At 45.7% G+C, this 21850-nt stretch overlaps 1 protein-coding gene and 1 long non-coding RNA gene across 3 annotated transcripts in view, besides 2 other annotated features; one reads left to right on the forward strand and one right to left on the reverse strand.

The window, feature by feature from the left end:
- Positions 3823-4152: a silencer, noted in NCBI's record as "silent region_11278". NCBI's record gives its function as "represses an Ori minimal core promoter by ATAC-STARR-seq in GM12878 lymphoblastoid cells {active_cell/tissue: GM12878}" and the evidence as "EXISTENCE:reporter gene assay evidence [ECO:0000049][PMID:35858748]".
- Positions 3938-21850, forward strand: part of MAPRE3 (microtubule associated protein RP/EB family member 3) — a 56583-nt gene continuing 38670 nt past the window's right edge. For both annotated transcript variants that reach the window (NM_012326.4, NM_001410716.1), the window contains exon 1: positions 3938-4103. The gene's annotated coding sequence lies outside the window, so the exon portion shown is untranslated. The remainder of the gene's footprint in view (positions 4104-21850) is intronic.
- Positions 15888-15947: an enhancer, noted in NCBI's record as "active region_15481". NCBI's record gives its function as "activates an Ori minimal core promoter by ATAC-STARR-seq in GM12878 lymphoblastoid cells {active_cell/tissue: GM12878}" and the evidence as "EXISTENCE:reporter gene assay evidence [ECO:0000049][PMID:35858748]".
- MAPRE3-AS1 (MAPRE3 antisense RNA 1) overlaps positions 18073-21850 on the reverse strand; it is a 29817-nt gene continuing 26039 nt past the window's right edge. The window contains exons 4-6 of the long non-coding RNA NR_149018.1: positions 19962-20071; positions 19814-19857; positions 18073-18266 (exon numbers count right to left, since the gene is read on the reverse strand). This is a non-coding gene — a long non-coding RNA (MAPRE3 antisense RNA 1). The remainder of the gene's footprint in view (positions 18267-19813; positions 19858-19961; positions 20072-21850) is intronic.

Here is a 21850-nt window from a genome sequence, read left to right on the forward strand (position 1 = left end):
TTCTAGAAAGAGCCTTCTGACAATGGTGTAAAGAATGGATTGGAGATGAGAGAGGCTGAAGGCAGAGAGAGCAGGCGGGAAGCTCTGCAGTAACCCAGGCAAGAGATGGTAAAGGTGAAGCAGATAAAGAAGGGAAGAGTTTTGAGAGGCATTTAAGAAGTGGAGGCCAGGCACGGTGGCTCACGCCTGTAATCCTAGCACTTTGGGAGGCCAAGGTGGGTGGATCACTTGAGCTTGGGAGTTCTAGACCAGCTGGGAAACATGGTGAAACCCTGTCTCTACTAAAAACACAAAAATTAGCTGGCATGTGCCACATGCCTATGGTCTCAGCTATGTAGGAGGCTGAGGTGGGAGGATCACTGGAGCTCAGGAAGTCTAGGCTACAGTGAGCTATGATCACACCACTGCACTCCAGCCTGGGTGACAGAGCAAGACCCTGTCTCAAAGACAACAACAACAAGTGGAATTAGGGTCAGGCCCTGGGCTTACATCTGTAATCCCAACACTTTGGGAGGCCAAGGCTGGAGGATTGCTTGAGCCCAGGAGTTTGAGACCAGGCTGGGCAGCATAGCGAGACCTCATCTCTACAAAAAAAAAGAATCTAAAAGAAAATTAGCCAGGTGTGGTGGCACACCCCTGTGGTCCCAGCTACTTGGGAAGCTGAGGTGGGAGGATTGTTTGAGCCCAGCATGTCAAGGCTGTAGGTGAGCCGTGATCACGCCACTGTACTCCAGCTTGGGCAACAGAGCAAGACCCTGTCTTAAACAAACAAACAAGCTAAAGAAGTGGAATTAACAGTATTAGAAAACTGTCCTGGGGCTGGGTGTGGTGGGTGGCTCAAGCCATTAATCCCAGCACTTTGGGAGGCCGAGGCAGGTGGATCACATGAAGTCAGGAGTTTGAGACCAGCCTGGCCAACATGGCGAAATCCTGTCTCTACTAAAAATACAAAAATTAGCCAGGTGTGGTGGTGCATGCCTGTAGTTCCAGCTACTCGGGAGGCTGAGGCGTGAGAATCGTTTGAACTTGGGAGGTGGAAGTTGCAGTGAGCTGAGATCGTGCCACTGCACTCCAGCCTGGGTGACAGAGCAAGACTCTGGCCCAAAATAATAATAACAATAACAATAATAATAATTTGCAAATCATATATTATCTGATAAGGGATTTATATCCAGAATATATAGAGAAATCCTAAAACTCAACAACAATAAACAAACGGTCCGATTCAAAAATGGACAAAGGACTTGACTAGACATTCGTGCAAAGAAATTACACAAATGATCTATAAGCACTAAGACAACATAAAAAGTCGTCCAGCAAGCACCCTGCTGTTTAAGTTTCAGCCACCTTCTGACTCACACCTTGAGCTAGAACCATCCAACTGCGGGCTTTCTGAATTCCCATCCCACAGAAATAGAGATAACGAAATGGTTGTTGCTTTAAACCACTGAATTGGAGTGATTCATTTTGTAGCAATAGTTAATGGCACATAGTAAAATGTTAATATGTAGAGAATCTGGGTGAAGGGTATATAGGAACTCTTTGTAGAATGGTCCTCTACCTTGTGTATGACAAAGGGGTGGGGTTACAAGGATCATAGCTTCTTCTCAGGATTACTCAGGACAGTCTACACCACCCAAGTCTATACCTGTAACAATGAAGCTGAGCTGGAACTTCAGAATGGGAAAGCAAGATAAACTGAGCGTGCGACTTCCCTATTGCCTTGGTGACACCCAGATACCCTGCAGATGCAGTTAGAAACAGCTCCAGTTGTCCAACTCTGTGGCTAGAAAAAAGTGTAGCCTGGGTTTTTACTCTCCTAACCCCTTGATTTGTTTTGGGAATTATTGTCTACAAAGAGCTCTCTCCTTTCTGATAATTGCTTTAGGTGGAAGAAGAGAGGATATGCTGTGTCCCCTCTCTTTTCTTACTTACTCTATTTGTAACTTTCTTCTTTTTTCCCCAAGAAAATGGGCTTAGTTGGGGTGCTTTGGCACCAATAGTCCTGCGGCGGAATCTGTGGGAGCTAGACAGGGAGATTTGGAAGAGAATGCTAGGTTGTGAGCTCTTGCTTTTGAGTTGTTTGAAGAGAATGCTGCATCTCTGGCATGTCAACAAGCCCAGCAGAATCCAGTAACGTTCACCAAGAAGGCTTGATTAGAGCTGGTTAGGGGATGATCAGGATGGTTAGGTGTGAAGAGCTTACGCTGATTATGGAGGGTATGGGAGTCACGGGGTTGGTACCCAGTGAGGAAATTTACCTTAGTAGAAACATTTGGGATAGTGTAGAAGAGAGAAGAGCTAGAGGCGAGGATTCAGGAAATAGAGAATGCCAGAGTCTCAATTAACAGGATGGAAAGCTAAGGAGATGAAAGACTTATAATAGTAGCATAGTACTAAAAGACAAACTATGTGTAAAGGTATTAGAAATGGGGACTGGGACTCTGAGGCAGTTAGGCCAGAGAAAAGAAGAAGGAAAAGATTTGTCTTCATTTGATTCAATTACATAAGCATTTCTCAGAATCTGCTATGTGTCACATGCTGTGGTGGATGCTGAGGGAGCTGATGAAAAAGACAGAATTCCTGCCCACCAGGGTCACATAGTCTGGAGACACAGACACGTAAACAAATGACGATAGTGTAAGGTGTGTGTAAGAAAGGAGGAATGTACAGGGTTGGTACAAAGGTGACCTCAAGGCATCCATGGGAATCAGGGCTGAGGGAGGAAGAGCCAGAAGACATCAGCACAAAGAGAACCAAGATGCTGAAGTCACAGGGGGAAAGAACATACTGGAGCCCCGGGCAGAGCAGTGCTGGACAAGGACAGCAAGTGTGGAGAGGAAAGGGAGATCCAGAAGAACCGAGGAGATCCATAACAGCATGCTTGGAGGAGGAAATTCGGGAAAACGAATGGACATGTCAGAGGGAGCTAGTTATGAGGAAGTGGACTGCAAACCAGATAGTGAGCAAGATGAAGAAATGAGGTGTTTATCCTTGCAATGGGAGAGAGACAATAAGGCTGACAAAAACTCAAGTGGTCTGTGGATAGACGATTTCGTTAGCTCGATTTAAGGGTAAAGGGCACACTCTCTGGTAGGAGATGAAAGGGGATGTTTAAAACAGGTAGAAAAAAATTGGGCCGGGCGCGGTGTCTCACGCCTGTAATCCCACCACTTTGGGAAGCCGAGGCAGGTGGATCACCTGAGGTTAGGAGTTCGAGACCAGCCTGGCCGACATGATGAAACCCCTGTCTCTACTAATAATACAAAAACTTTGCCAGGCATTGTGGCGCACGCCTGTAATCCCAGCTACTCGGGAGGCTGAGGCAGGAGAATTGCTTGAACCCAGGAGGCAGAGGTTGCAGTGAGCCAAGATCGCGCCAGTGCACTCTAGCCTGGGCGACAAGAGTGAAACTCCGTCCCAAAAAAAAAGAAAAAAAAATGAATTTGGGAATTAGAGAAAAAGACTGTGATTGGAACCCACACACCAAGAGAGGAGATAAAACCCAGCCTTAGCTCTTCCATGTCGCTGAAAGAGAAGAAAACGTCTCTTTTTCCTTTTCCGTAGCCATAAAAGATGAAAATCCGTCATCCAGCTACTGAAATCAGGTGCACACGGTTGTTCCTCCTGTGATGAGACAGGGCGGAGGGATTGTTACCCTGTTGCCAGGGAAAAAGGAAGGGGCTGTTCCCAGTTGCTATGGTGACGAGGTAGGCGCGTTCCCTCGGTACCGCCGCACACGTCTGAAGCGGTCTCTTCTCCTCGTTGCTACGGCAACGCAGTGGGCCTGTTCCTGTCGCCCCCCGCCTCCCGCCGCAATCGCTAAGGCAAGGTGGAGGTAGGGGCTGTCCTCCCGCGGCTCAGTTGCCTTGGAGACGGCGGGTGCCCTGGCCCCGCCCCGCTCGGACTGACAGCGGCGGCCGCATCGCGCCTGCGCAGTGCCCTCGTCCCCCGCAGTCTCTGTGCGTTGAAGCCGGAGACCGCGGCGGCCTCAGCGAGGACCCTCCGCCCCGGAGCCGCCGGCCGGAGCCGCAGCCTCTGCCGCAGCGCCCCCGCCACCTGTCCCCTCCCCCTCCGCCTCCGCCGGAGCCGCCTCGTGCACTGTGAGTCCGGGCCGAGGCGACGGACGCCGTGGGGCTGAGTCAGCGGGAGGCCAGGGCCCGGGCTGGGGGAGGGGAACCGGGCTCCCCCCGCCCCTGCCTCCCCACCCGCACTCCCGCATCCCGACCGCGCCTTCCCCGCGCCGGTCAACCCCCTCCATCCCTGTCGCCGGGTTCCCTCCGGCCTTGGCGGCCCGGCCTCCCCAGCCACTCCCCCTCCCCTTCCCTCCCCTCCCCTTCCCTCCGTCTCTCCGGGTCCACCTTGAGGCTCCTTCCCCACTAGACGTGGCCACCGCACCTCTGCCCTGGGCTGATATTTTCTCCAAACTACCTCCCGTCCGCCCTTATCCCTTCTCCCTCCTCCTCACTCCTCCTAGGCCTGACATCTCCCGGCCTCTCTGGATCTCCCCAGTGATGTGCCAGAAAAAGAGTGACAGGAGAGCGAGGGGAGACTTGGGGGAGGGGGAACATCGGGCCAGGCCCAGCCTGGGGGCCTCGGGTTTCTTCCCCACACGCTCCTGCCTGGCTGGTTTGGGGAAGCAGGTCTGGACAGTTCTCACTGGCTGCTCAGAGCTTGCAGGGCTTTCCGAATAGATTTGGCTGGGAAGGGTTCAGCCCCATCGTGATCATCTAGCGTTTAATGAACGCGGCTAGTGCCTGGTGGCCTTCTAGTGGGCTGAGCTACTGCCCGGCCGGTGTTGCGGAGCGGGGAGTAGAAGTAGTGGAGGGAAGGGAGAAGAGGTTGCGTTTGGGAGCTCCAAGTTCCTGCGCTTCCGGTGTGGTGTTGTGAATAAGCATCTTGCGGAACTCTTTAAAATGCTTTTTTTTTTTTTTAAATCGCACTACAACCCTGGTATAATGTGAGGTTTGGAAAAAGGCCTGATACCATCCATAGGAAGTGCTTACTGTTTATATATGAAGGGGCTGTGGCAGGACTTGATCTTGGATTCCTGTAAATTAACTAATTGGATAGTAGTGAGTTTTTAACATAACGTGTGCAGAGTTGAGAGGAAGGAGAAAAATCGAAGCTTCTCCATGGTGTAGGTGTGAGGCCTGTACACTGTGCCTCCTCCAGCTGTGTGTCTTTGTGGGGCTGTCACCAGATAGGGGTTCTAGCATATTTGGACAATTCCCTGGGTTATGTTTGCTACCCCTCCACCTGCCCATCTTGCAGTCCCTGTTCTTGGAATAGAAGAGGGTCCCAAACAGTTTTCTTTTTCCAGAAGAACTGAGTTGAAGTCAGAGTTAGTGCCCAGAGCCAGAAACTCTTAATAAACATGTCTCAACTTGAGGGCCCCTAACTACTATATGACCTCATTGTCAGCTTCTTTTTTATTTGGCTTCCAAATTTCAGTGTGCTTTTAGAAAGCACGTGTAAATATAAGCCAGATCTACCGCACAAGAGGCTTTGGGATTTTTACTCCAGATGGTAAAAGGAACGCATGGTCCATTTCTAAAAATCATGGTGAAGGAGCCACTCATTTGGAGTTTCCGGGGTTGCAAACAATGAGAAATAACTATTTCACTCTTTACTTTGCTCAATCATGGCCTATTGGCAGCCTCCTCATAGCCACTCCCTGCCCCCATGCCCATCAGATTAGTTTACAGTAGCCAAGACGGCTGTCGCCCTAGTTTTAAACATAGAGATGAAGTTCAGGAAAACTATAGCCCCCATCCAGCAGGGCAGTTTCTTCTGTTTCGAATGCCAGACTGGGGTTTGGTGGGATGCACCTGCCTGTGGTGCAGTGGGAACTGTGGGGCCTGAGAGTGGCATTCCTTCTGTGTGGTCCTGTGTCACATAGCTCACCAAAATACCCGAGCAGGGCAGGAGCAGACAGCTGTACTGGAGAGCTGCTCCTCCTGGGCTGAGTGTATTTTGGGAATCAGCGATATTACTGGGGTGGAGGGTTGTGAATTAAGGAGGAAGAAAATGTGTCAAGGCTAGATAGATCAGGAGGGTGTAAGTAAAATGTTCCTTTCCAGTTTGCTATGGGATAGTACATTTTCAGAGGATCAGAGTAGTTTTTATATGGATTAATTTGCCTTTGAAATCCATACCAGTGTTTTATGAGATAATGATGGAATGCCTTTTAAACTGCTACTATGAGGAAACAGGACTAATACTTGTCTTATACATTGCCTATCCAGCTGTTGCTGAATGTAATTGTTAAGATCAAGGAGAGGGACATGATTTGAACCAAGTTAGACCTAAATCTATGTAATGGTATTGAGGTTTTGTAGGACTGTATTCTTGATTCTAAGACACACCAGCAATTTACCAATAGCTTTTAGGTAAAATAATCTAATGCTACCAGATCAAAATATATATGCTGATTCCAAGGTGCATCCTCATTTTAGAAACATTAAAACCCTCGGGAAATGGCAAGACTTGAGGGAGGGATTTGTGAATCTTGGAACTGAGAAAGAATGCTATTGATAGTATTCCTGTGTGATGATGCCGTTTCTGACCTACCGTCCTGAGAGTGCATGCATTGTGAAGCTGAGTTTCTTCTAGTCCTTCCTGCACGCCAGCACACATTGTGGGGTTGTATTTGTAAGATGACTGGCTGGAGTTAGGCATAGTAGGAGGCTATTGAACGGAGGAAAGTTCCCATATGAGAATCCAACCCAGGGTCTTAATGTGGTACTCTCCAGAAACTGAGCCAACTAACTGGCAGCAAACGTCTTATGAGCTATTCCTGAATTTAGCCGAGTAACATTTGTCAGAAGCCGAACAGAAAATATAGTTTTTTTTTTTTTTTTTTTGAGACGGAGTCTCGCTCTGTCGCCCAGGCCGGACTGCGGACTGCAGTGGCGCAATCTCGGCTCACTGCAAGCTCCGCTTCCCGGGGTTCACGCCATTCTCCTGCCTCAGCCTCCCGAGTAGCTGGGACTACAGGCGCCCGCCACCGCGCCCGGCTAATTTTTTGTATTTTTAGTAGAGACGGGGTTTCACCTTGTTAGCCAGGATGGTCTCCATCTCCTGACCTCATGATCCACCCGCCTCGGCCTCCCAAAGTGCTGGGACTACAGGCGTGAGCCACCGCGCCTGGCCAGAAAATATAGTTTTTTAAAACAGAATGCATCTGCCCTGATTTGCTTACAGATACATTTGTAAAGGTCCCAAGGCACATGTCTCCCTCGCTTAGGATGTTAGCACTGGAGGTGACCCCAGATGGTATAGTTTAATGCCCTCATTTCTAAAGTTGACACAAGACACCAAGAGTTAAATGACTTACCTAAGGTCACCCAACCCATGCAGAACGTATGTAAAAACACTTTGTAAACTGTGTACACTAGGCAGATGAATGTTGGTGGTTATTAGTGGCTGAGTCAGGATTAGATCTCCAGATTTCCAGACTAGAGTTATTCTTCAACACCACATTGCCTCATCCCTCATAATGTTCCAAAGGGTTTTAATAAAAATAATTTAGTAGTCCGTAATTAGCCCTGTAGGCAAGGGCTTGTTTTGTCATCTGAGATGCTGCACAGCCAGGCAAAATTTTGTGTCAAACTGTCTAACTAAATATTTATTCTTGCCACTTTAAAAATAATATTTTTTATCACACATTCTGACTTCAGGAAGGTCTTTCTTTTTTTAATTTGCATCAACTAACAGAAAAGCAAATGTGAAGTTGGGTATTTGAAGTCTTTTCTACTTCTTATCTGTGAGACTGCCGCATTCCAGAAAGCAAGGTGGAGAGGCAGATGGGGCTGAGAGGAGGAGCGTGCACATTGGGCAGCTGCGGGCTTATCTTCCACCTCTCAGAATGGAACCTTTTGTAGTTTCTGGGAGCCATAAGGACTTCTAAACCCTCTCCTTGGGAAGCGCGGAGGCAGCCTGACCTCTGGAAGCAGGCAGACTTGAGTTCAGATCCCCATCCAGCCATCTCCTGGCTGTGTGGCCTTGGGTGAGTTATGTTACCTCTGAATGCCAGTTTCCTCATTTATAACCCTGGAATAATAACTATCTGTTTTACAGGGTTGTTGTGAAGATTAAATGAAAGGGAGTATGTAGAGTGCTTGCTTCATAAGAAATAGCAATGATTATTTTATATTGACTAAAGCATAAAATAGCAAATAATGGTTTCAAAATTGTTTCGTGATTTAGGTCCATCTTGGACTCTCAGTTTTGTAGCCCCCATCTCTCAGCACCCCTCTCGGTATTTGACACGAACAGAGAAAAGGTTTGTACCGGGAAGACCCGGCACTTGCATTATTATTTCAACTGCCAAAACCGGAGTATATGAAATGTATCTTTGCTCCATGTATTCAGCCAACCTGAAAGACTGGCAGGACAGGAGCATTTGACTTTAGGAGGCACAGATGTGGTGTGCTTGGGTGTGTGGTGGGGGTGGCTAGTTCTCCAGCAGGGAGGCCAGTCTGGGGAGTGGTCTTCATTTGAAATAGAAAAGCTGCTGAGCTCTTGCTTGTGAGGGACACACATGTGGTCTTTATTGACTTCCTCAACTGGTAGAGGCATAGATTTCATCGGTGACTTTGCTAAAATCAGCTTCTGCATCCGTGAGATCCAGGGGGCAAGGGAAAGGAGCTATTCATCTTAAGAGGGAAACCTTGCCAGTGAGCAGAGGTAAAGGGAGGTCATTTTGGATGGAGAGAATTACAGACTGGCTCAAGGCAGAAACTACTGAGTAATTAAAGAACCAGGGCAAGCTGTTCAGGTGCAAGAGCAAAAGTGAATTTAAATTCCTAGATAAATTTCAGTAGGGAAGGAAATACCCATGTATAGACATCTAAAGATTGAAAAGAAACGCAATAATGTTTACCTCTGGGAGGTGGGATTTGGGTGTGGGGAAGGGAAAAGGAGACTCAAAGGGGAACTTTTACTTTATATGTTTTTGTATTTGACTTGTTATAAGAAGCATGTATGCTTTAGTCATTTAATGAAGACCAAATAGAATGGGTAGTGATTGTTGTTCAGTAAATACATTTTGGTACAAAAGAAGCAGCTGCCTTTACTTGGAGCCTCCCATGCCTGGGGCAAATAGGGTTTGACAGCTTCAAGCAGGCCCAGGCAGTTTGCACCAAATCAAGCTCTTAAGTGAGGGCAGGACCCTCCAAAGTGGCTGCTTCCCGGTCAGCCCAGGGTACTTAACTGACCACCTACCCCATCAACTCTTCCTAGTCTTTTCACTCCCCTCTTGAGAATAGTCCCCTCCATCTGTTGACCAGCTAAAATAATCATAATTATTCTAATAAGCTAATTTTCAGCTATTGATGAAAATGGCATCTGACTATATGACCTTCATGAAAAATTCCTGCCTCTTAGTTAATGTCAAGAGGGCTTGAAGTTTAAAGGGACCCAAGCTGAAATGCTGGCACACTGTGTAGCTAAGTTCTAGGTCAGACCTGGCTGGTACAGCACATCTTTCACATAATGACTGATTAACTGCTTCTGGTAGGAATTACTGGTAAACTCTGATAAAATCCTTAAGGATTGTTCAGCTTTTAATTTTGTCGTAAGTTGGCCAGCTGTATTTTCTAGCCAGATGTCATGTTTATTATAGAAAGATGACACACCTATCATTTGGACATGTGCTTTGGGTTGCTTACCCAGGAGTTAGGATGGGTTATGCTGAGTAATTCACATTCCATCACCCAGTCTTCCCTTTGGCCAAGAGTACAATTTCGTGTGACAGTTAGCCAAGTTTCGTGAAGCATGCTGTGGCCACGGATGGTTTTTCTTGTGCACAGAGTTGACTGGCCAATACTAGCATAAGCCTAGATCTTGCACTCACTAGCACCATGCCCTACCAGCTTTGCTAAACTGACCAGATGTTGTTAGTCAACTTTTTAGCATAACGTCAGTGTTTTAGGCTCTGGATGCTTCATTTGCCTCAAGTAAATAAGGACTTGTCCTATCTAAAATGCTTTAACTCCATGCAAAATGATTTTTTCCCTGAAACTATTTCCTAGATATAGGAGATACATACCACTTGTGTGATACATTTAAAATAACTGAGCAAGAAGCATGGCTTCAAATCTGCCTTGTAGCTTGACTATATATAAAAAAGCTTAAAAGGATGTATATCCTTAGACCAGAAAGTGCCATTCTAGCAATATTTAGAAAATCAGAGGTGTGTACAGAAATAATTGTAAAAGATTTATTAATGCAACATTACTAGTAATATCAAACATTGAAAACAACCAAAAGTGCCAGCAACTGAGGATTGGTCAGGCTCGCCCAAATAAAATACTGCATGGCATTAAAAACATTTGGAGAAGAATATTAATACCAGAACTTTTAATATCAGTGAAAAAAGCAGGATGAAAAATAGTATGCCAAGGAAAAAACCATATTTATAAAGAAAAACATGAAAAAGATACTAGAAGAGCATGTGCCAAGTCATAAGTGATTGAGTAATGGGATTAAAAACGAATGGCTTTCCTTAGTGCTTGTTGGTGTTTTCTAAGCTTTTCTGCATTAAGCAACTATAACTTAATTATGACATTTTAAAACCAGTGACTTCTAGATTCCATGTAGTAGAGCAATCTTTAGAGTCTTCTTTGCCTCTTCCTTTTACTGTTTACATGTATCGGAAGGTTTTAGTAAAACCTTGTATACCACAGGGCTCTGTTTTGGGTGGCCTTCTTTTCCCAGGTGTCTTTTCAGATTCTCTGTATTCCCAGTTCTCCAGTGTTCCAGGGGCCTTTTTTGAGGGTTTTGCTCATTTTTTGGTGTGGATGTGCACCTGTCTGAATTGTCTGTTTCAAAAGACTCTGCCCAGGCCCACTACAGTTGCCTTCCTCCCTTTGCCCTTTGTCACCTTCCGTTCAGCCATGAGCTCAGAGGCCCTTTTTCCTTCCAGGGATAGAGAGGGTTGGGTGCCCACCTGTGGCCACCCGATGGGCAGAGCCCTATGTAGACATAGGCTAGGCCACTCCCCCTGTGCCACACCAGGTCCATGGAGCTGCTGACTGTGTTGGTAGGGCCTGGCCGGGCAGCTGTCCTCTGGCCTCATCTTTCCCATCCACACACACACACTGTACATTGCCTAGATGGCCCAGTCCAGTGGACTGATACCTGCCTTCAACCAGTGGTGGAGTCTGCCCAGCTCTGAGCACTGAGAAAGGGGCACTTTGGCCTCCTCCTGAGGATCCGGGACTTCGAGTTGAAGAACATATGGCCTGTCACATAGCTCGAACTGTGCTGTGATAAATGTTTGCTAAGCAGGATCTGCCTCTTCCTCCAAATGGTCTGGCTACCCAAATACTTGTCCTAGATGGGGTGGAGGCCTTCCCTGCTGCTGGAATTATTAGTGAGCAAGTCTTTGGGTATGGCTGGCTGGAGAGACTCCACCACTCGGAGAGAGTGATTGTGGGAGAAACAGTCATCTTATCTTGAGGGCATTGTGGTCCTGGTCACCTTGTAATTTATATGGTGTTCTCTGACTGGTAAGAAATGAAATCTTAACTGCTTCTGAGTCAGCAAGATCATAGTTGGGTCTAAGGTGTGTGTTGCCATGTGAAAGGGGCAGGTCTTAGACCACTAGATGAAATTAGATACCTTTCCCATGTGAGGAGTGTTTCACGCAGGCTTATCTCCAGTGGCATAATGTGTGCTGTGTAGCCAGGCCTTTCCGCAGCACCAGACTCTTGGCAGCCAGCCACCCTCCACCCCCACCCGCTTCCCTGAAGGTTATTGACACTTACCTGGGACTCTGATTTGGTCCTTGATTTGTTCTGATTTTAGATGCTTAGAGCTCATAGCTGAAAGCTCTCAGTTTAGGCATCCTATTAACACTCTTAAGTGACAGGATCACTGCTAAGTACAGAGATGTGTTATGCTGGCCCCAAAATAGCAAGGTACAGTGTCTTGAGACAACTTGATAAGACTTCTATTACCCCAAAAGTATAGTTCCCAGGTTTACAGATTATTCATATAAATTTGCATATCATCTTCACAAGACATGTAAGCATGCTCTCAGCACGTATTCTTCATCAAGCCCTTTCTCTGTTTTGTATTGTTAGTCACTATGGGATATAAAGGAAATGAGACTCAACCCTTGTCCATGAGGAGGCTGTAATGTGTGTGGAAGACAAGATGGATATATGGAATGATTAGTGCATATGACAATATTGCATGTCAGAAACACATCTTTGGTGCCTTATTCTATAAGACACAGTGTCAGCCCTTAAGGAATTCAGCTAATATTCTGGCAAAAGAGTTGGACACAAAACTGTATGTCACTGTAACATGAGGGGATGGAACCTTATCAGCTATGGGAAAGGGTGCTTTGGTAAGCCAGAAGGAAGAGTCACCCTGAGCCTGTGAGAACCAGAAAGACTTCAGAGATGAAGACACACTGGAGCTGGGTGTGCAGGTTGATGTGGAGACTCATCAGAGGACAGCTGAGGAAGAGAGGCAAAAGAAATGAAAAGAACAGTGCATTGGGTGTCACTGGTACTACAGAGTCTAAATTCCAAAAGGATGCTGAGAGGAAAATAATCATTGTGAACTGGAGTAATCAGAAAAGACTTCAGTCTAGGTGCAATGGCTCACGCCTGTCATACCAACACTTTGGGAGGCCAAGGGGGGAGGATCACTTGAGGCCAGGAGTTCAAGACCAGCCTCAGCAACATAGCGAGACCCCATCTACAAAAATTGTTTTTAAATTAGCCGGGCATGGTGGCATATACCTATAGTCCCAGCTACTAGGGAAGCCAAGGCAGGAGGATGGCTTGAGCCCAGGAGTTTGAGGCTGCAGTGAACTATGATCATGCCATTGCACTCCAGCCTGGGTGGCAGAGTAAGGGCCAATCTCTATTAAAAAAAGACAAGACTTCACAAAGGAAGCAGAACCTGACCTTGTCTCAAGGATGAGCAGGCTGTGAGTTGACAGAACACCAGAGAGGGCTTTTCAGGAGGCAAGGTACAGCATCAGCAAAGGAATGGCCGTGGGAAGGGGTGTGGTGGGGTTTGTAGGCAGGGCAGCCTTACCAGACTGAGGATGTGTGCTGGTTTTGAGTTTGGAGAATATTGGTGACATTAACCAGAAATTAGGAAGTTTGAAGAGACAGTTTGGAAAGGAGTTGCTTTTTAGACACAGAGAGCTAAAAACAACGTGACTGTGGGTTGCAGGACATCCAAGTTGAGTGATCTCATAGAACCGGAAGCTGAGGGTCAGGTTGTGGATGGAGCTGTAGAGTGGGAGTCAGCAGCACAGAGGAGGGCTGGATTCCCTCAAAGGAATCTCTCCAGAGGTCTTGCATGCAGAGTACAAAGACCAGAGCCCCAAGTAATAAGCTTTGAGAACTGTCCATAGTTAGGAAAAAAGGAACAAGATGGTGGGAAATTAGGATGATTCAGCAGCAAGGGAAGAGAAAATGTCTGGAAGAGAGTTTCAGTGCTGCTGATTTAACTAGATTTAAGGATTTAACTAGAAGGCAGTCATGATGATTGCTTAGGGTATCCATTCAGTAAAACACTGGAGTGGTTTAAGGGGAAAATTGACAGAGAAAAATAGAAGCAATGGCTGGTCACCAGAGAATGGCAGCAGGGAGGGAAAGAAAGTAGTAACCAGAAGAAGCAATCGAATCAAATATTTTATTTTTGTAAAATAATTCTATTCTTTATCAGCAAACATATAAAATTGTAGTATGTGGTTCTTAAAATATATTTTGTGTATTAAAATGTGCTTCATCTGCAGACTTCTCTATATTGACATAATCCATATATTTGTAACTTCACATATTTCATTCCTTTGGTGGTATCCCATCATATTGATACCAGTATGCTTAACCTCAATCTGTTGTTGGGCAGTTGGAGTATTTTGCAAGTGTAAATATCTCTGATTTGAACATTACTGTACAAGTGACATTTTTTTCTTTTGTGGATTATTTATTCATGGTATATTCCATAAAGTGAATTACAGAGGTGCAAAGGGTACGATTTTTTAAATAAGCTTTTTATACAACGTTCTTCATGGTGATCTAACCAACTTTCAATTAGAGTAAAAGTTTGGTATTGACGAAGAATCATTTTTTATAAGAAGGAGGTCTGAGCATGTTTAATGGCAGAAGGGAAAAGGAGTTATCCAAAGAAAATAGTACACAGACAAGAGAGAAATAAAGCAAAAAGGAATGATCTTTAGGATCCCAGGGAAAGGTTCCTTTGAAGAGAAGAGGGCATGGCTCTTTCTACCCCTGACTTTTAGGGTGAAGTCCAGGATAGATTACTGGGGTTCCTCCTAAGAAAAGACCTTTCTTTCTTTAGTAAAATAGAGCCAAGGCCACTTGCTGAGGTGGGGGAGGGAGAGGGTTGGTGGGGAATTGAGTTCTTGAAGGTCTGAATTACCCACAGTGAGAAATAAGTCTGGGCATATGAGAGATGAATAAAGGTCTTATTGTGAATGCTGCATTGGACCTATGAATTCATAATGGGCTGAGTCTTTAAAGTCCTCTGGCCAGAGAAGCAGCAGTGAGTGGGGACGGGCACCAGGAATGGGTGTTGCTTGGCATGTTCAGGGCAAGGTTTCTGAGGAGTCAAAACTTAAGATGCAGTGAAGTAGCTGGCCCTAAGGCCGGAGGTAGAGGAAGGGCCACAAGTTGAAGACAGGCGCTGGTTGTCAGCCAGAATGAGGAGGCAGAGGAATTACAGGGGCCAGTGGGAACGGAAAACAGGTTTAGAATATGAGGGATGAGCAGTAAGGAGGCCACTGACAGAGGAAGATTTTCATATTAAAATTTGGCAGAGGCTTCTTTTACTTTTGTTCATCTTTGTATAATGTTTACGTTTCTAACACAGACGTGTAACCACTAACATTTCTTAAAGGAATATTTGAAATCTCAGGAGTCGAGCTGTGCCTTCCGGGTGTGGCTGGATTGCTGAGATGGATGAAGGAGAAATGAAGATGGAGCTGGATCATGGAGCCTACCTTGAAAAGGTGCTGGGCCTCTAAGGAGCCTCCACGTGTCAGCCAGTGGCTTCTGTGGTCTCAGCTTGTCACAAAAGAGTGGCACCCAGCCAGCAGCCCTCCTCCACCTACACTCCAGTAGTGTTCAAAATCCAAGGAGGCCCATCTTCCCAGGCTTGACAGTCGACTCTTAGATGTGCTGTTGCGTGAGTCTGGTGGTTTCCAACTCTCTGAGCAGATCCCTACTGAGCCATGCCTCTCTGGCCTCTGTGAGTGAAGGTTCTTCCTCCAGACAGATAGAGTCCCTTGCTAGGAATGCAGTTTTGTGAGTGGAGCTTGGGTTCTACTCATTTTGTGAGGGTTCCAGCCCTCATCTCCTCCACAAGGTGCTTTGTGCAGTGTACAAAGTGTACAACTGTTTATAACAGCCCTGTTTCTCTCTTGCCTATTATGAAACTTGGCCTAAAGTCCTTTCCTCCTCTGACCCCTCTCTTTCTCATGTCCTCCTAGATCATTCACTTTGACTCTGACCCTGTCTAACACCCTGGGTTGTGGTCTTTATTCCACCTGCTGGATTCACATTACTTTCATGCTGCACAACTGAAGCCATTTACACAGCTCACCATGCAAAGCAGCCACAGGGGCTGATAGCAGGGGACTTAACTAGGTGGGAATATGTGGAAAGTCAGGTGCAGGAGTCAACCTGTGGAAACGGAAAAGCTAGGGCTGCTTTCTTTCCAGGGCCTTACACTGACATTACCTTGCCTGGACATTTTGTAGTCCCGTTTCATGAAAGCCAGGACCTAAGCAGAAGTATGGCTCCCTGCCAGTCCCTACCAGGAAGGAACAAACAGCTTGCAGTACAGGCCTCAAGCCAGGTGGGGCAGGAGCAAAAGTGCATTGTGTTGCCTGTGGAATTAAATGGACTCTCTATAAACACAGCCTCCTGCCACTGTTCTTTTCTCTTTCCACCTAGTCAGCCTACCTGAGAATAATTAGCCCTTGGCCTATAATTAGGTAGAATGATTATTTTACTACTGTTTATCCATTTCACTAGATAACTAGCTTCATGAGGCAGGGACCATGTGAGACCTAGCAGTATCTGGGGCTCAACAAATAATTGCAGAATGAATGGATTTCTAAGGCATATTTGTTGCTGTCCATCCTTAATGCTATGAAATGGTACCTAGGAGTGAGTATATAGTGACCATAGTAACTAACGAAAAAGCCCTCACATTTGTCCCTAATGGACAAGAGTGCCAGCAAAAGCAATGTTTTGGACTTCTCAAAGTCAAAACTCAGAGACTCTCAAGATTTGGAGTAGCATTGAAAATTAGGAAGGCCCAACCCAGCTCCTGTCAGAGGGAAATGGAAAGACATGAGAGGAAGATCCCACTACCGCTACCACTATCCTGTTCAATAAAGCCTCACTTGGGCAGAGTTAAGCTTCCAGTAAGACAGAGACAGAGATAGACATTCAGAGACGGAACCCACCACATAATCTGTGCTTGCATAAATTAAAAATCAAATGTGTAGTGGAGCCTTTCCGAAGGGTGCATTTCCCACTCTCCTAGGTATGGATGACTAGATCTTCCAGGAGCCCACTGGGTTCCAAGCTTAGGCTCCAGAACTCCTTTTCTCCATGCAGCACCCCCAACCCTGCCTAGCAACTCTCCCCAAGTACTGCTCTGCTTCCCCTGTGGCTTCTCAGACATGCAAGCCTCTGATTGAACTTCTCCTGGCCTGGAAGGCTTGATTTTTCAGGACCCAGCAAGGCACTGCTCTGGCCTCGTGGCTGTCCCAGGATGTGTTAGGAGGTCATAACACAAGAGGACTCATGCCTCTGAGGCCCTCTCGAAGGGTATTGAGAACTCAGTGATAATGCAGGCCCTGTCAAGGGTACTTAAGAAGATCCCATTTGTACCTTTATCTTTAAAATTCATCATTTGAACTCAGATGGTTCTCCCAGTATCTAGCTGTTCTGTGGAAATTATGTTGCTTGCCACCTAGAGCAGATGACCTCTTTGGGAGGCATTAGGAAATAACTAGTTGTTTTAAAGCTCCCAGAGCTGTTAGCTAAAAGATCTTATATATTCCTTTCAGCTTGGTTTTCTGGAATTGACAGCCTTTTCTAATTCCAAAGAGGCTGCCTGTCAGCTTCCTTAAGAAGCTTCCCAAGATACCCATTGAAGGCCCAAGGCAAGCAAAGAGAAACAACTGAGAAGCCTTTGACTCCAGGTGTCCCTGGGTAGCAGCTGCCCCTCACCCCGTCCCTTCCCCTTGTTGGGGATGTGAGGTTTGGAAAGAACTTCCTCAGATGACTGCCAAGTCCACAGTTATTCCTCTGAAGAACACTCGAGAATTTTTGCATCACTTGTCTCACCCTCACCCTAATAATGTTTGTGTCCATGCATTAGCTTTCCCATGAATTTAAATATATTTATATATTATTCTCAAAATCATTACGACCTTGCCCATATTTTCAGAGAAACTTGTAAGAGTGTTATGTGTTTAATGCCTTTAGTGTATAGTCATAATCAAAAACCCCTTGCTGGATGACAAATATAATTCAAAATTGCTTTTAGAATTAAATATTTATGAATTAAAACATTGCAGAAATGCACAATGCAAAAAGTAGAAGTCCTCCATAACTCTGTCCCCCAAAGAGAATCACTGCCACTATTTTGTTGAATATTCCAACTTTTTTCTACACACATACTAACATATTATTTTTTTTAAACATGGAATCTAACTATTTTTCATTTGTAGAAAAATTGGAAAAGATAGTAAAGAGTAAGTGAGAAAATTAGAACTACTTTTAATTCTACCACTCAGACAGCAGTGGCACCAGGGGGTGGTTTGGGTGGGCTTTAGCACTGCCCTCTTCCTGAAAGCTGCCCCAAGGAAACATATGCTCCAAATACAAATGTGTCCTTCTTCTGCATATGCAGCTTCAAGACTTTCTTCTAGCTCCCTCTTCCCACCAGATTACCAACCCTAAGCCCCTCCATACAGAAAGCTCGTTGCCACCATTGCTTTTCACTGTGGTGAACATATTACTCCATTTTCTTCCAGTCGCACATAAATCTTTTAACTAAGGATCATATTCATTTATAGTTTTTACAGTAGTCATATCAAGTTCCAGTGTAAATTACATGCAGAACGCACTTCCCATTGCCCCAGGTAACATTAGTTTTGATTTTGTCCCCAGTAGCACTATTTCCAAGACATGTCAGGGAACTGTTTTGAACTCACCCCTAGGAGATGCTTTCACTGTGCCAGTGGAGAGCTGAAACATAGGGGCAATGACTTGTTTAAGATCAAAATGAAACTCTGCCTTAGCTAAACTTACCCACAGGTGTCTAAATGCCCAAGATCATTGGCTGAACTGCCTGAGTTTACTGCAGCATTTGGGAAGGAGTAGAAGGGACATCCCTAGGTCCTGAATTCTTCCTTTTTCTTTAGCCTCAATATCATTTGCTTAGTACCGTTTAGGTAGATGGTGCTTCGGCCCTGAGAGAGATTGTTAAGACATGTGCTGTTGAAACTCTTCTTCCCTTTTGGGGAAGGATGTTGGCCTTTCCTCAAGTCAGGCAGAATCCTACCTGGGCCATCTTCCCAGCTCCTGAGATAATTCACAATATTCTCATTCCAAATTCTGTTCTGTGCATCTCATTTCTCCATGTGCAAAGACTTAGCCAGAGAGCATTCTGGCAGCATAGATCTGAGTTGGTGAAGCTATTCCTATAGCAGTAATGTGGCAGAAGCAGGCCCTGGAGACCCTCCCCACTTGCTCAGGTGTGGCCCAGACCAGTGCTGTACCATACTGCCATGGCCACAGGGCAACCACCATAACTCAGAGCAACCCCTGGAGAATGAGAGAGCAGCCTAGGAAGTCCCAGTGAGAGGAGACCTAATCAGCCAGGTATTCATTTCTTACTGCTGCCTAACAAATTACTGTGAGAGTTCTAATCCCCCAGAACTGGTAAATATTCCTTTATAGGACAAAAGAATAGGTATTACCTTATATGGCAATAAGTGTTAATTAAGTTAAGGATCTTGAGAGAGAGGTTTATCCTGGATTATCTGGGTGGGCCCTAAATGCAATCATATGTATCTTTATAAGCAGGAGGACAGAGGGGTGTTGAGAGAGAAGAGACAGTGTGGCCACAGAAGCAGAGATTGGAGTGACCTGAAGCCACCAGAAGCTGGAAGAGAGGCAGGGAGCAGATTCCCCCAAGAGCCTTCAGAGGGAGGGCAGCCCTACCGATGCTGTGATGCTGGACTTCTGGCCTCCAGACCAGTGAGAGAATGACCTTTGTTGTTTTCAGCCACCCAGTTTGTGGTCATTTGTCACAGTAGGCACAGGAAACTAATCCAGTGTGCCAAAATCAAGGTGTTGGCAAGGCTGTGTTTCTTCTGGAGCCTCCAGGAGAAAATCCGCGTCTTTGCCTCCTCCATCCTCTAAAGGCTGCCCACATTCACTGGCTCCTGGCAGCGCATCACTCTGCTTCCATCATCACTGTTCTCTGACTGACCCTTCTGCTTCCCCTTATAAGGACCCTGGTGATTACACTGGGCCCACTCAGATAATCCAGGATAATCTTCCCATCACAGAAACCTTAATCACATCTGCAAAGTCCCTTTTGCCATTTAAGATGACATATTTATATGTTCCAGGGATTAGGACACGGACATCTTTGAGAACCTACCATAGTCTGTAAGCCTAAATGGTATGGGTATGTTCAAATTAGATGCTACTCCCTGAATCTTGAGAAAAGCAGTATCAAAGGAAACACTTCTTTATACAGAAGTGGTATCCATGGAATGTATTACCTGCACAGGTTCTCTCAGGCAGAAAACATGGAAAGCTACGTCAGCTGCAACAGAAAGATGGGGGTATGAATGTGAGCTAGGCAAGATGAGGTTCTCCCTGTAAGTTTTCGAGGTGAGAGCGTGGGGGAGGGTCTTCTACAGCACTCACCTTTGGTCCTTCTCAGGCAGACTAAGCTGGATGGGCCTTTGGTTTGGGCCAGTAAGGGTATTCCGTGCAGCCATCAATCATAGCACTGGTGCCTGTGGAGACACCGGCCACTGGAGAAGATCCAGAGGATGAATCACAGCAGTAGACATGGTATGGGGATTAGAGGTAATGGGGCATGCTTGTTTGAATGGAGAGTGAGAGGGCTGTGGGAGATGCTATGGAAGATGGAAATGGTGCTTGTGGAGTGTTGGTTGGAGGGAGAGTGGGAAGCTGAGGAGCCACCGTGTGAAAGAGTTTCCACCTAGAGGTAAGAACTCAGGAGGGAGTGCCCCGGTAATAGCTACCCTTGAAGTCAGACGGAATTACTTGAAGCGGTTTGGCTTCACATCAAGACCATCAAAAGCCAAGTTCCCATTCTGCTCCTGCCTATCTCTCTAGCTCTGGAAAAAATGATTTCTTCCTCAGAAGTAAATAAAATTTCCTCCTTGTATATCAGTGTAATGTGGGAATAAAAAAATAAAAAATTTCCTCCTTGAAGAGGATGAAAAAGCATTAATTATTAATGTTTATTTTCATATTTACAGATGAAAGACATGCTGAGTTCAAAGAGGTAGAGTTGCGACTGAGGAAGAGAATTAACTCTCAGCATTAAAATTATCCACTAGAAAATATTTATGCCTGTTTTGAAAAGTCTGGCTGGGCGCGGTGGCTCACGCTTTTAATCCCAGCACTTTGGGAGGCTGAGGCAGGTGGATCACCTGAGGTCAGGAGTTCAAGACCAGCCTGGCCAACATAGTGAAACCCTGTTTCTACTAAAAATACAAAAAAATAGCTGGGCATGGTGGCAGGCACCTGTAATCCCAGCTACTCGGGAGGCTGAGACAGGAGAATTGCTTGAACCTGGGAGGCGGAGGTTGCAGTGAGCCGAGATCGCGCCATTGCACTCCAGCCTGGGAAACAAGAGCAAAATTCCATCTCAAAAAACAAAAAAAGAAAGAAAGAAAAAGTTTCTAGGGGTTGAATACAAAGTTGGAGAATTTCAAAAAGAGATCTGACAATCAATAAAGGGATCAGAGAAGAATCTTATTAGGACAGAAATGTTTGTGTTCCTAACCACCCAGACTCATTTCTAGGACAAGGCATTAGACAAAGGTGTCAGCAAGCAGCCACCTCCTACATGCTTGTGAAACACTATGAGAAATTATGGTGCATGCCTCGGAAACTTGCCAGATAATTAATGGCTTAATTCTGCTTCAGCTCTTCTTTTCATAACACAAAGGTCTGAGACTCCAATTAATGAATTTCACTTTAAAAAGAAGTTTGTTGAATACTTGCTCTAGTTTAAAGCATGAAGTTCAAGGTAGGGGACACAAAAAGAACCCATTCTCCTGGGGCCACCTCTCTAGACAACACTAGCTCCTAAGCAGGCGGGCCTGCTGGAGGCCAGGTTCTAACTGCCAGAGCCATTGCTACATGGTGTGTCCCTTGGCCCACTGTGAGCAGCCACAGCAAAGTGATACCATTGTCTTCATGGGACCAGCATCCTGACCTGCTAGAAGGGGAGGCTCCTCCCTGACAGTTTTTAAATACAAGGACATTCCAGCATCTCATTATTCTGTGATGGTGTGAGGTAATATCTGTCCTAGTCTCTAGCTTGTTTTTTTTCAACTTGTATATCAGAGCATCAAGAACACTGCATACATTTAGCTGCTTTTAAAAATGTTGGCAGAAGAAACCAGTTAGCTAAGTGGTCATTAATAGCTGCAACTCATCATTGAAATTTTTCAGCAAATTTTTTTATATTTGTTCTGCAAGTTGTTTTATCTCATCACAACATTCTGGAATCCAACCAGAAAGGAGACTGAAGTTTCTGGAGATGAGGGAAAACT

This window comes from Homo sapiens, chromosome 2, assembly GCF_000001405.40.
Source record: "Homo sapiens chromosome 2, GRCh38.p14 Primary Assembly".
In the NCBI taxonomy this organism is placed as follows: Eukaryota; Metazoa; Chordata; class Mammalia; order Primates; family Hominidae; genus Homo; species Homo sapiens.